The sequence below is a fragment of the Homo sapiens genome, chromosome 19 (genome assembly GCF_000001405.40).
Source record: "Homo sapiens chromosome 19, GRCh38.p14 Primary Assembly".
Classification (NCBI taxonomy): Eukaryota; Metazoa; Chordata; class Mammalia; order Primates; family Hominidae; genus Homo; species Homo sapiens.
This window is the reverse complement of record NC_000019.10, coordinates 4,938,805-4,951,974: the sequence shown is the minus strand read 5'-3', so window position 1 is coordinate 4,951,974 and position 13,170 is coordinate 4,938,805. Positions and strand designations below refer to the sequence as shown.

The 13,170-nt window shown below is 52.5% G+C and overlaps 1 protein-coding gene across 9 annotated transcripts in view; it reads right to left on the bottom strand.

Annotated features, from left to right (window-relative positions):
- The window catches only part of UHRF1 (ubiquitin like with PHD and ring finger domains 1), a 59,075-nt gene that overhangs the window by 10,180 nt on the left and 35,725 nt on the right, over positions 1 to 13,170 (bottom strand). For 5 of the 9 annotated variants that reach the window (NM_001290050.2, NM_001048201.3, NM_001290051.2 and 2 more), the window contains 8 exons: positions 10,347 to 10,447; positions 10,044 to 10,230; positions 7,720 to 7,843; positions 7,525 to 7,632; positions 6,010 to 6,114; positions 4,764 to 4,870; positions 1,202 to 1,364; positions 979 to 1,116 (listed from right to left, as the gene is read on the bottom strand). In NM_001290050.2, the coding sequence (NP_001276979.1) occupies positions 979 to 1,116; positions 1,202 to 1,364; positions 4,764 to 4,870; positions 6,010 to 6,114; positions 7,525 to 7,632; positions 7,720 to 7,843; positions 10,044 to 10,230; positions 10,347 to 10,447 (1,033 nt within the window). The remainder of the gene's footprint in view (positions 1 to 978; positions 1,117 to 1,201; positions 1,365 to 4,763; positions 4,871 to 6,009; positions 6,115 to 7,524; positions 7,633 to 7,719; positions 7,844 to 10,043; positions 10,231 to 10,346; positions 10,448 to 13,170) is intronic. The other 4 variants (XM_011527942.2, XM_047438707.1, XM_047438708.1 and 1 more) reach the window with 1 other exon arrangement.

The following is a 13,170-nucleotide window of genomic DNA, read 5'->3' as shown; positions in this document are numbered from 1 at the left end:
CCCTCGGGTAGAGGACATCAGGCTCTCGACAGCAATTAAGATTCCTTAAATAGTCTCACGATTCGTCTGCTGTAAAGCTTCTCCCTGCAATGGACAGACCACATCCTAACTGGTGCTGAAATGCTGCGCCGCTTGTTGAGTAAGTTCTCGGCAGTTCCCATCGCCACAGGGAGGTGAGAGATGGCTCGGGGATATTCATCTTCCCCATTTTTCCGTCCAGATCTCTCTGGAATCCACCAATTTGGTTGGTTTGTTTCTGCTTTTTTTTTTTTTTTTTTGTGATGAGCCAAGAAGTGAAAACAGAAGACACCAGATGCCTGACTGGTCTGCAGCGATCCCTTTACCAACAGAACGAAGACAAGCAAGTCTGGTTTTCAACTCTGAGATGCGGCAGGCGGAGAAGCAAATGTCATCTGCGCGTTCCCATCACCCCCTGGCTGGAGGATTTATATGGGACAGCTAGGGGGGTGCCATCAGCTGGGGCCCTGGAAATTATTCTGGATCAGAGAGAAACCAGGGAAGCATGGGCCCGAGACGGGAGGCCTCCTGGAGTGTTCAGCGCGGTCCAGAACATGAGCACCACAAGCCCAGGCAGGGCCCATTCTGTGACCCACAATGACCTTCAAGGATGACAGCCTCCAAGCAGGACACATGGTGCCCAGGCGGGAAGTGTCAGAGCCGTCATGGAGCCCGGCAGTGCTCCTGTTTTGAGATGGACTCTCATTCTGTCACCCAGGCTGCAGTGCAGTGGCGCAATCTCAGCTCATTATAACCTCCACCTTCTGGGTTCAAGCAATTCTCCTGCCTCAGCCACCTCAGTAGCTGGGATTACAGGCACCCGCCACCATACCCAGCTAATTTTTGTATTTTTAGTAGAGATGAGGTTTCACCATGTTGGCCAGGCTGGTCTTGAACTCCTAACGTAAGTGATCCATCCGCCTTGGCCTCCCAAAGTGCCATCCCCCATCCCAGACACACCTGCATGGTCAGCCCCAGCTTCTTGATCCGGTCCTTCCCCTCCTTCGTCCAAGGGCCAGGCTCATCATCGTCCCTCCGCAGAAGGTAGCGCCACACGAGAAACCCGGACTTCCCCTTCTCGGGCCAGTATTTCACAACCTGCAGAGAGCGGGCATCAGCGTCAGCTCCATCAGAGGCAGCCCCGGCGGGGACAGAGCCCCCGGCCTCCTCAAGGGGCACTCACCTTGTAGATGCCATCGTAGCGGTTGCCCTCAGCGGGGGCGTACTTGCTATTCTTGCCACCCTTGACATTGCGCACCACCCTGACCGGCTTCCCCGACCGCCAGTCCTTGGCCTCGGCCCCTTCTTGGTCATTGATGGGAGCAAAGCAGTTGAGAGCCAGCGCCCTGCAGGGAGAGTCAGGACCCCACGCATTATAGGTGAGGATGTACCCCCCAAAAAAGGAAACACAGGAGCCGGGAGTGGTGGCTCAGGCCTGTAATCCCAGCACTTTGGGAGGCTGAAGTAGGCAGATCGCCTGAAGTCAGGAGTTCGAGACCAGCCTGGCCAACATGGTGAAACCCCGTCTCTGCTAAAAATGCAAAAGTTAGCCGGGCGTGGTGGCGCGTGCCTGTAATTCCAGCTACTCAGGAGGCTGAGGCAGGAGAATCGCTTGAGTCTGGGAGGCAGAGGTTGCAGTGAGCCGAGATTATGCCACTGCACTCCAGCCTGGGTGACAGAGTGAGGTTCTGTCTCAAAAAAAAAAAAAAATTTAATATTTCAAAGTTATATATGTATAATTTATAAAATAGGCCACACCCAGCCTACTATTTATTTGAGACAGGGTTGCTAGGTGCCGTGGCTCACGCCTCTAATCCCAGTACTCTGGGAGGCCAAGGCAGGAGGATTGCCTGAGCCCAGGAGTTCAAGACCAGCCTGGCCAACGTGGCAAAACCCCATCTCCACAAAAAAAAAAAAAAATAGCCAGGCGTGGTAACATGCACCTATAGTCCCAGCTACTCTGGAGGCTGAGGTGGGAGGATCAGTGGAGCCCAAGGAGGTGGAGGCTACAATGAGCTACGATCACACTGCTGCACTCCACCCTGGACAAGAGAGGGAGACCCTGCCTCAAAAAAAACAAAACAAAGCACACACACATATAAAAAAAAAACAAACAAAAAGAGAAAGGGTGTCTCACTCTGTCACCCAGGCTGGAATGCAATGGCATGATCACGCCTTACTCACTGCAGCCTCCTGGGCTCAAGCCATCCTCCCACCTCCGGCTCCCAAGCTGGGACTATAGGCCCACACGACCATAACCAGCTAACTTTTTTGAAATTCTTTTTTGTAATTTTAATTTTTCATAATTTTATGTTGCACAAGTAGGTCTCAAACTCCTAGCCTCAAGCAATCCTCCCACCTCAGCCTCCCAAAGTACTGGAACGACAGGCATGTGACACACCACCCATGGCCCATGTCTTTTTTAGGTACTTAGTTACTGACTTTGTGAGAGTGTGTGTGTGTGTGTGTGTGTGTGTGTGTGTCTATGTGCCAATTGTTTTAGATAATGGTATGAAAAACATTACATCTTACATTTTTACCTAGCCAGAGGTCTCCTAAAGACATTTTTCAAAGCGGAGTTAGAGTGACAAGAATAGATCATTTATAAAGCTCTTCATACAAACAGGCAGAAGAGATTTCCAGAAAGATGGTTCCAATTTGTATTTCTACCAACAGTGGAATGCTATTTTACCCCTGACCTATGTCAACATTTTAGAATTTTTGGCCAACTTTATAGGGGAAACAAATAGTATCTCACCACAGCCTCAGTTTGTATTTGATTACAACTTTGCACTTCTTTTGTGCATTATTTCCATATTCTCTTTTTTTTTTTTTGCTCTGTCACCCAGGCTGGAGTGCAGTGGAGCAATCTTGGCTCACTGCAAGCTCCGCCTCCCAGGTTCATGACATTCTCCTGCCTCAGCCTCCCGAGTAGCTGGGACTATAGGCACTTGTCACCATACCAGGCTTTTTTTTTTTTTTTTTTTTTGTATTCTTAGTAGAGATGGGGTTTCACCATGTTAGCCAGGATGGTTTCGATCTCCTGACATCGTGATCCGCCCACCTCAGCCTCCCAAAGTGCTGGGATTACAGGCGTGAGCCACCACGCCTGGCCTCTTTGCTTTCTTCTACGAGTTTCTTTCTTTCTTGAGATAGAGTCTCACTCCTGTTACCCAGGCTAGAGTGCAAGAGTGCAATGGCATGATTTCGGCTCACTGCATCCTCCGCCTCCTGGGTTCAAGCAATTCTGCCTCAGCCTCCCAAGTAGCTGGGATTACAGGTGCCTGCCACCACACCCAGCTAATTTTTGTATTTTTAGTAGAGACAGGGTTTCACCATGTTGGCCAGGCTAGTCTTGAACTCCTGACCTCAGGTGATCCACCACCTACCTCGGCCTCTCAAAGTGCTGGGATTACAGGCGTGAGCCACCGCACCCAGCTCTTCTATGAGTTTCTTGTTGATTTGCAACAGCTCTTTATATGATAAAGACACTATCATCATGTGTCATGTCAAGAACTCCTCCTAGTCATCTGCCTTTTAATTTATAGGATTTATTTATGTAATATATTTATAATGTTTAGATAATCAAATCTGTCTTTTCCTTTGGGCTTTATGATGGTTTTTATGCTGGAAAAGTCCGCCCCCATCCTGTAATCAGGGGCCAAGCAAATTCTGGCCTATCACATACTTTTGCAAATAAAATTCACTGAAACACAGCCATGCTCACTCACTTACATATGGTCTATGGCTGATTTTGTGCTACGACACAAGAGCTGAAGAGGTTCTCTGAATAGACTGTGTGACCTGCATAGCTGAAGCAATCTATTTTGGAGGGGTTTTTTTTTTTTTTTTTTTGACAAGATCTCAGTCTGTTGCTCAAGCTGGAGTGCAGTGGTGCAATCTCAGCCCACTGCGGCCTCAACCTCCTGGGCTCAAGTGATCCTCCTGCCTCAGCCTCCTGACTAGCTGTGACTATAGGCACATGCTAACACACCCAGCTAATTTTTTTATTTTTACTTTTTGTAGATGGGTTGTCTCACTACCTTGCCCAGGCTGGTCTTGAACTCCTGAACTCAAGGTATCCTCGAGCCTCGGCCTCCTGAAGCGCGAGAATTACAGGCGTGAGCCACCAGGCCCAGCATTAAGATACCTACTATCAGCCAGGCGCAGTGGCTCATGCCTGTAATACCAATATTGGGAGGCCGAGGAGGGAAGATCACCTGAGGTCAGGAGTTCGAGACCAGCCTGGCCAACATGGCAAAACCCCATCTCTACTAAAAATACAAAAATTAGCCAGGCGAGGTGGCAAGCACCTGTAATCCCAGCTACTCAGGAGGCTGAGGCATGAGAATCGCTTGAGCCCAGGAGGCAGAGGTTGCAGTGAGCAGAGAGTGCACCACTGCACTCTAGCCTGGGCAACAGAGCGAGACTCTGCCCAAAAAAAAAAAAAAAAAAAAAAAAAAAAAGATATCTATTATCTGGCCTTTTATAGGGAAGTTTGCTTTCATCCATCTGAATGGCTCACGGTATGTGGCACACATACGGGAGGAACCAGACCAGGCGCAGTGGCTCACGCCTGTAATCCCAGCACTTTGGGAGACAGAGGGAGGAACCAAATGCCAGGCTTCGCTATGTTCTACCACGCTCCTAATGAGACTATCACTTGCTGGACATGAGGCCCAAAACAGAACCAAGACTCGGCAGATATGCATCAGCAAGGAAATAAGAAGGCTGATTCCACAAACCTGTTGGTGTTGGTGAGTTTCTGATCACAAGACTGTTCCGCGGTCCTCTTGTTGCCGGAAAGATCTCGACCACCACTACCCGTGTATGTGAAAAAATTCCCATGGTCCTGAAACAGACAAGAAGGCTGGGTGAACCCTCTGCAGAGGCAAAAAAAAAAAAAGAGACTGCATTGAAAGCAAACTCCCCAGGATGGCTACTTTCAAAGAAACAGAAAATAACAAGCGTTGGTGAGAATGTGGGGAAATTGGAGCCCTTTGTAAACTGTTGGTGGGACTACAGAATGGCAAAGCGACTATACAAACAGTGTGGTGCGTCCTCAAGAAACTTAAACAGAGGGCTGGGCATGGTGGCTCACACCCGTAATCCCAGCACTTTGGGAGGCTGCAGCGGGAGGATCGCTTAAGCCCAGGAGTTCGAGATCAGCCTGGGCAACATGGCGAAACCCCATCACCACAAAAAAATACAAAAATTAGTTTGGCGTGGCAGTGCCTGCCTGTAGTCCCAGCTTCTTGGGAGGCTGACATGGGAGGATCACTAGAGCCCAGGAGGTAGTGGCTGTAGTGAGCTGTGATCACACCACTGCACTCCAGCCAGAATGAGACTCGGTCTCAAAAAAAAGAAAAAAAAAAAACAACACTCAACATGGAATTATCACAGGAGTCTTGAATTCCACTTCTGGATATACACCCAAAAGAATGGAAAACGGGGGCTGGAGATACTTGTACAGCCGTGTTCGTAGCAGATCTATTCACAGCAGTCGAAAGGGGAAGGAACCCCAGTGCCCACGGACAGACAGATCAACACAGCATGGTCCCTCCGCACGGCAGAATAGGACTCAGCCGTGAACAAAAGGGGAATCCGGACACATGCGACAACATGGACAAAGCAAGGACGTCGGGCTCAGTGAGAGGAGCCAGGCATGCAAGGACGCAGGCCGTGCGATTCCACTCCCAGGAGGTCTCCAGAGTCGTCAGAGTCACAGAGGCAGGAACCAGGTTGGGCGGTGCCAGGGACTGGGAGGGGGTGGGGAGTGAGTGCTTCGTGGAGACAACGTTTCAGTTTGGGAAGATGAGAAAGTTCTGGAGATGGTGGTGGTGATGGTTGCATAGCAATGGGAATATACTTCACGCCACCGGGAACCAAGCATTTAAAAACGGCTAGGATGGGAAATTTTGTTCTATGTATTTTACCACCATCCAAAAAACTAGAGCAACCCTCCCCCACCCCTCCCACACACACACTCACCACATCATCCTCATAGCCCCCCGCCAGGACTAGGGAGTACGCTCCGTCGTTGCTCCGGCCGTGTATGCCAGCCACGTGGGGCCGATGGACACCCGACTCGCTGACCTGAGGATGCCACCAAGATATACATGGTGTCCTCTGCAATGACTGCTGCAGAGAAGCTCCACCGCCCTCCTCCTCCCTACCCCGAGCAGCCAGCGGCCTCACTTTTACACCAAACTCCTCAGGCCTGCGAGTCACCTACTACGTGTGCTGCTCGGCTAGAGACGGCCGGAGTTGAGCTGCACCATGGAAAAAAAAAAAAAAAAACCAGCTGGCGTGAATTCCAGCCCCATCAAGCGTGCACGGGGCATCCTCACTGCTGATCTCCGATGCTCCTCTTCGGCCTCTAGAAAATGGGGGGTGACGGCCAGGCACGGTGGCTCACACCTGTAATCCCAGCACTTTCGGGGGCCGAGGTGGGTGGATCACTTGAGGTCAGGAGTTCAAGACCAGCCTGGCCAACAAGGTGAAACCCCATCTCTACCAAAAATACAAAAATTAGCTGGGCGTGGTGGCATGTCCCTGTGATCCCAGCTATTGGGGAGGCTGAGGCAGGAGAATCGCTTGAACCCAGGAGAGGGAGGTTGCAGTGAGCCAAGACCGCACCACTGCACTCCAGCCTGGGCAACAGAGCAAGACTCCGTCTCAAAAAAAATAAAAGTGGGGGTGACTGAGTTCTAAATGAGGTTATGATATAAAAGCCGGCCTTCATTAGGCCGGTTGAGGTGCAGCCTGCCACTCACTCCACAAAATGCCTTGAGAGGCCCTGGCCTGAGCATGGGGCCCCGGCTGGCCGCTGAGCACTAGGGATACAGCGCTGCCCCAGGAGCTCCTAGCCCTGCACGCCTGGCCCCATGAACTCCATGATGAGGCCCAGCTTGTCCACCCAGCTCAGTGCATCTCACCCAGGGGCAATCCTGCCTCCAAGGGGACACTCATGTCTGCAGACGTTTCTGGTTGTCATGACTTGGGAGGACATGGAGTGGGTGGGGGCCAGAGATGCTGCTCAGCACCCTGCAGTGCCCAGGATGGCCCCGCCCCAGAGAACCATCTGGCTCCAATGTCACTAGTGCCAAAGTGTCTCGTCTGCCGTGACACACAGCCCACAGCTGACAGCGCCCAGCACTGTCAACACCCAGTCACAGGCAGGGGCTGCCCCAATGATAGATCACAACCAGCGCTGAGACAGGTCCCTCTTAGCAGATGCCACCCCTTCCCTGGGACAGGAGCTTTGGGAATGACCTTACGTGTCTCTGAGCAGAGCAGCAGCCCCCACCCCCAAGGATTCATTGCAGGTCCCTGGTAAAATAAGGAGTAAACCCAAACCTGCAGGCTTTCCACACCCCTCCTCGGCTAGCCGAGGCACCACTGGTAACCACCCTGACCCCTGGCTGGCCAAAGCCAGGAGAAACTGCCCCCAGAAAAGCAGGATGAGCCCGCGTGGCCCCTGGAGCCCCGGGACGCTGCAGGTACCTGGACTCGGAACCGCCACATGGTGCCCACGGGGATCCCCGGGATGGGTCCGTAGTGGTTGGACGGGACGATGGTACATTCCTTGGTGCGGCCCACACAGGCCATGCCCTGTCCCAGGCACAGACACAAAGAACAACAGCGTGAGCCCTGGCAGGCGGGGAGGGGCCACGGGCACGTGGGAAGGACCCGCCTCACCTTGCCCCAGTCCCGCTGTGAGGACGATGTGGCCGAGGCCATCTTCGCCTTCTTCTTGCTCTCTCTCAGCCGCTCTCCCGCCAGTACCACCTCGCTGGCATCATTCCGGCACTCAGGGCAGTACCTGCGAGGTCGGGATTGTCACTGCCCACGCCTAGCCTGGCAGATGTCTCAGCCAACATGTGCCCTCTGCCCACACACCACGGACATGGCTCTCCCCGCCTGGCACCACTACCATCCTGCCCTGTCCACATTGCAGGCCGCTTGGCACACGAGGCTGTTTACATTTAAATTCATTCGAACTAAGCCAGGCACAGTGGCTCACGCCTGTAATCCCAGCACTTTGGGAGGCCGAGGCGGGCAGATCACCTGAGGTCAGGAGTTCAAGACCAGCCTGGCCAACACGGTGAAACCCCATCTCTACTAAAAATACAAAAATTAGCCGGGCATGGTGGTGGGCACCTGTAATCCCAGCTACTTGGGAGGCTGAGGCAGGAGAATCGCTTGAAACCAGGAGGCAGAGGTTGCAGTGAGCCGAGGTTGCACCACTGCACTCCAGCCTGGAGGACAGAGCAAGACTCTATCTCAAAAAAAAAAGAAAGCAGGTTCTCTGTTGGCCTTCCACGGAGAATTCCACGGATCTTGCAACAGTGAGAGTGAACGCAATGTGGGATGTGGGAAATACACGTGCAGATTCCATGAGTGCCTTCTCACTGCCGTGGACTCAGTTTCCCCATCTCTACGATGTGGGGAGGGGGGGCAGGGCAACAACAACACCCACTTCTGTGCTGGAGGAATGACCACAGGCAGGTCCTCAGACCCGAGCCTAGCACATCACAACCTCCCCATCCACATCCGCAATTGTCATTATGTGCGCCAGGAACACAGTGGCTACGAAACCTCCTCTCACAGAAGCTGTGAAGCCCCCTGCACTCTGTTCCCTGGCTGGCCGCAGGTCTCACCCACTCAAGCAACATGGGAAGATTTCCTCACCACCCCCCCTTTTTTTTTGTTTTTGAGACTTAGTCTCACTCTGTCGCCAGGCTTGAGTGCAGTGGCGCGATCTCAGTTCACGGCAACCTCCGCCTCCCAGGTTCAAGCGATTCTCCTACCTCAGCCTCCCGAGTAGCTGGGATTACAGGCGCGTGGCACCACGCCTGGCTAACTTTTTTGTATTTTTAGTAGAGACGGGGTTTCACCATCTTGGCCAGGCTGGCCTCAATTTCCTGACCTCGTGATCCACCCACCTTAGCCTCCCAAAGTCCTGGGATTACAGGCATGAGCCACTGCACCTGACCTCATTTTTACTTTTCTAAAGAAATAGGGTCTCACTTCCATCACCCAGGCTGGAGTACAGTGGCGCGATCACAGTTCACTGCACCCTCGACCTCCTGGGCTCCAGCGATCCGATCCTCTTACCTCGGCCTCCCAAGTGGCTGGGACCACAGGCGAGCACCACCACGCCCAGCTAATTTTCTTACATTTTTTGTAGAAATGGGGTCTCCAGGCCAGGCATGGTGGCTCACACCTGTAATCCCAGCACTTTGGAAGGCTGAGGCAGGCAGATCACTTAAGGTCAGGAGTTAAGAGACCAGCCTGGCCAAGATGGTGAAACCCCGTCTCTACTAAAAATACAAAAATTAGCCGGATGTGGTGGCAGGCACCTGTAATCCCAGCTACTCGGGAGGCTGAGGCACGAGAATTGCTTGAACCCGGGAGGCAGAGGTTGCAGTGAGCCAAGATCGTGCCATTAGACTCCGTCTCAAGGCTGGGCGAGGTGGCTCACGCCTATAATCCCAGCACTTTGGGAGGCCGAAACGGACGGATCACGAGGTCAGGGGATCAAGAACATCCTGGCTAACAAGGTGAAACCCCATCTCTACTAAAAATACAAAAAATTAGCCAGGCGTGGAGGCGGGCGCCTGTAGTCCCAGCTACTCGGGAGGCTGAGGCAGGAGAATGGCGTGAACCCGAGAGGCGGAGCTTGCAGTGAGCTGAGATCGCGCCACTGCACTCCAGCCTGGGAGACAGCGAGACTCCGCCGCAAAAAAAAAAGAAAAGAAAAAGAAAAGAAAAAAGACTCCGTCTCAAAAAAACAAACAAAAAAAGAAACAGAGTCTCTACGTCCCCCAGGCTGGTCTTGTGTTGCCCAGGCTGCTCTTGAACTCCTGAGCTCAAGTGATCCTCCCGCCTCGGCCTCCCAAAGCACTGGGATTGCAGGCGTGAGCCCCCGCGCCTGCCCCTCTCCTGTATCTCCTCAGTGCCCCTCTGGGGATTTGTAGGGGGCGCTCTGGTCTCCCCGCGGCGGGCAGGGCCGCACTCACCACTCGTCCTCGCTGGGAACACTGCTGAGGGGCGGGTCCAGGCAGTAGATGTGGAAGGCCATGTCGCACTCATCGCACATGAGCTGCTTGTCGGGGTCCTGCCGGCCCCCGCACAGGTGGCAGGCGCAGACCCGGCAGAGTCTGTTCACGTCGTCCTTGCAGTGCTTGCAGGACGGCCCGCTCTTCCCTGGGCACGGGGCGGCAGGGTCAGCTCCGGCGGGGCCCGGCCAAGCCAGAGACGGGACAAGAGCCCCCGCCCCGTGCCCACCGCGGAAGATGGGGAAAGGCTGGCTCAGAACTCACGTCTCATGGGGTTGTCAACCATGGGGCTCCCTTCACCCGGCCGCTCAATCTTGAAGACTTCGTCCACGAAGATGATCCGACAGTCGTTCAGAGAATCATCCCTGCAAGGAACGAGGACGCTGGAACATTCTGGCCTGCCGAGGCCCCTAAATCTACTCACAGCACTTGAACACCACGGGTTCTCGGGATGCCTGGGGCAACAGCTCAGCTACGCCCCCTAGCAATCAAAGCTGCACTCACAGAAGCAACATGAAACGGAACAGGGCGCAGTGGCTCACGCCTGTAATACCAACACTGGGAGGCCGAGGTCAGGAGTTCGAGACCAGCCTGGCCAACATGGTGAACCCCCGCCTCCACTGAAAATACAAAAATTAGCTGAGCTTGGAGAAGCGCGCATGTAATCCCAGCTACTCGGGAGGCTGAGGCAGAAGAATCACTTGAACCCGGGAGGCAGAGGTTGCAGTGAGCCAAGATCGCGCCACTGCACTCCAGCCTGGGCGACAGGGCAAGACTCAGTCTCAAAAAAAAAAAAAAAAAAAAAAACAAAACACAGAAACCAGAGTTTCATTGCAGGATGCCCTGGGAAGAATGAGTTTGAACCTTTGGCTAAGGAGCACCAAATCCACAAGAACCGACAAGCAAGACTCATAAAGGTTGGCCGGGCATGGTAGCTCAGACCTGTAATTCCAACACTTTGGGAGACCGAGGCAGGCCGATCATCTGAGGTCAGGAGTTCGAGACCAGCCTGGCCAACATGGTAAAACCCTGTCTCTACTAAAAATGCAAAAATTAGCTGGGCATGGTAGCGCGCACCTGTAATCCCAGCTACCCAGGAGGCTGAGGCAGGAGAATTGCTTGAACCCAGGAGGCAGACGCTGAAGTGAGCCAAGATCGTGCCACTGCACTCCAGCCTGGGCGACAGAGTGAGACTCCATCTCATCAAAAAAATATATAAATAAATCAAGTTGGGCACCGTGGCTCACATCTGTAATTCCAGCACTTTGGGAGGCCAAGGTGGGTGGATCACGAGGGTCAGGACTTCGAGACTAGCATGGCCAACATAGTGAAACCCCGTCTCTACTAAGAATACAAGAATTAGCTGGGCATGGTGGCCCGTGCCTGTAATCCCAGCTACTCGGGAGGCTGAGGCAGGAGAATCGCTTGAACCTGGGAAATGGAGGTTGTGGAGCTGAGATGATCACGCCACTGCACTCCAGCATGGGCGACAGAGCAAGACTCCATCTCAAAAAAAAAAAAAAAAAAAAAAAATCATAAAGGCAACGCTTGATCCAATGGCCTACATCAAAATACAAGAACTCCTGTGAGTGAAACTGATCCCCCGAGATCAATAATCCGACATCCCCATCAGCAACGTCCGAGGGAAACAGCACTTGAACACACGCTGTGTATGTAATTCTAAATTTCCTAATAAGCACGTTTGAGAGGTAAACATAGGTGGAAGTAATTGGAATATGTTCCATAGAACCCAGTGTAGACAAAAGATTATTTCAACATGGAATGAATATGAAAAAGTTATTAATGAGCTACTTTACATTCTTCTTTTGTACCAGGTCTCTGAAAGCCCATGTGTTTTTTTTTTTTTTTTTGAGACAGTCTCGCTCTGTCGCCCAGGCTGGAGTGCAGTGGCACGATCTCGGCTCACTGCAAGCTCCACCTCCCGGGTTCACGCCACTCTCCTGCCTCAGCCTCCTGAGTAGCTGGCACTATAGGCACCCGCCACCACGCCTGGCTAATTTTTTGTATTTTTAGTAGAGACGGGGTTTCACCGTGTTTGCCAGGATGGTCTCGATCTCCTGACCTTGTGATCCGCCCACCTCGGCCCCCCAAAGTACTGGGATTACAGGCATGAGCCACTGCGCCTGGCACCCATGTGTATTTTACACTCACAGTACATTCCAGTTCCTCCTGGCCACATTTCAAGCACAGCACAGGTGGCTCTTGGCTATGGGACAGTGTGGGAACACACTGACCTACCAGCTCACAGGTAGCACAGACGCACACAGCAAGTGACATCTCCTGGTCATCTCTACAGTCTGGATAGAGCCATTTGGAACTCCTGGGACAAATGACCAGGATTCCTCAACAAATTAAGTGTTAAGGAAAAGGAGGCTAAGGCAGGAGAATTGCTTCAGCCCAGGAGTTCAAGGCTGCAGTGAGCTATGATTGCACCACTGCACTCTAGCCTAGGTGAGACAGCAAACAGCAAGACTCCGTCTCAAAAAAAAAGAAAGAAAAACATATTCTAAGACTGGGTATAGTGGCTCATACCTATAATCCCAGCACCTTTTGGGAGGCTGAGGCAGGAGTATCACTTGAACTCAAAAGTTCGAGACCAATCTAGCCAGACCCCCATTGCTACCGAAAATTAAAAAAAAAAAAAAAAAAAAAATGGCCGGGTGCAGTGGCTCATGCCTGTAATCCTAGCACTTTGGGAGGCTGAGGCGGGTGGATTATCTAAGGTCAGGAGTTCAAGACCAGCCTGGCCAACATGGTGAAACCCTGTCTCTACTGAAAATACAAAAAAAAATGAGCCAGGTGCAGTGGAGCACGCCTGTAATCCCAGCTACTCGGGAGGCTAAAGCAGGAGAATCGCTTGAACCCGGGAGGTGGAGGTTGCAGGGAACCAAGATCGTGCCACTGCACTCCACCATGGGTGACAGAGCGAGACTTTGTCTCATCAAAAAACAAAAAAAAAAATTAGTCAGGCATGGTGGTGCACGCCTATGGTCCCAGCTACGTGGGAGGCTGAGGTTGGAGGATTGCTTGAGCCCAGGAGGTTGGGGCTACAGTGAACTGAGAGCTT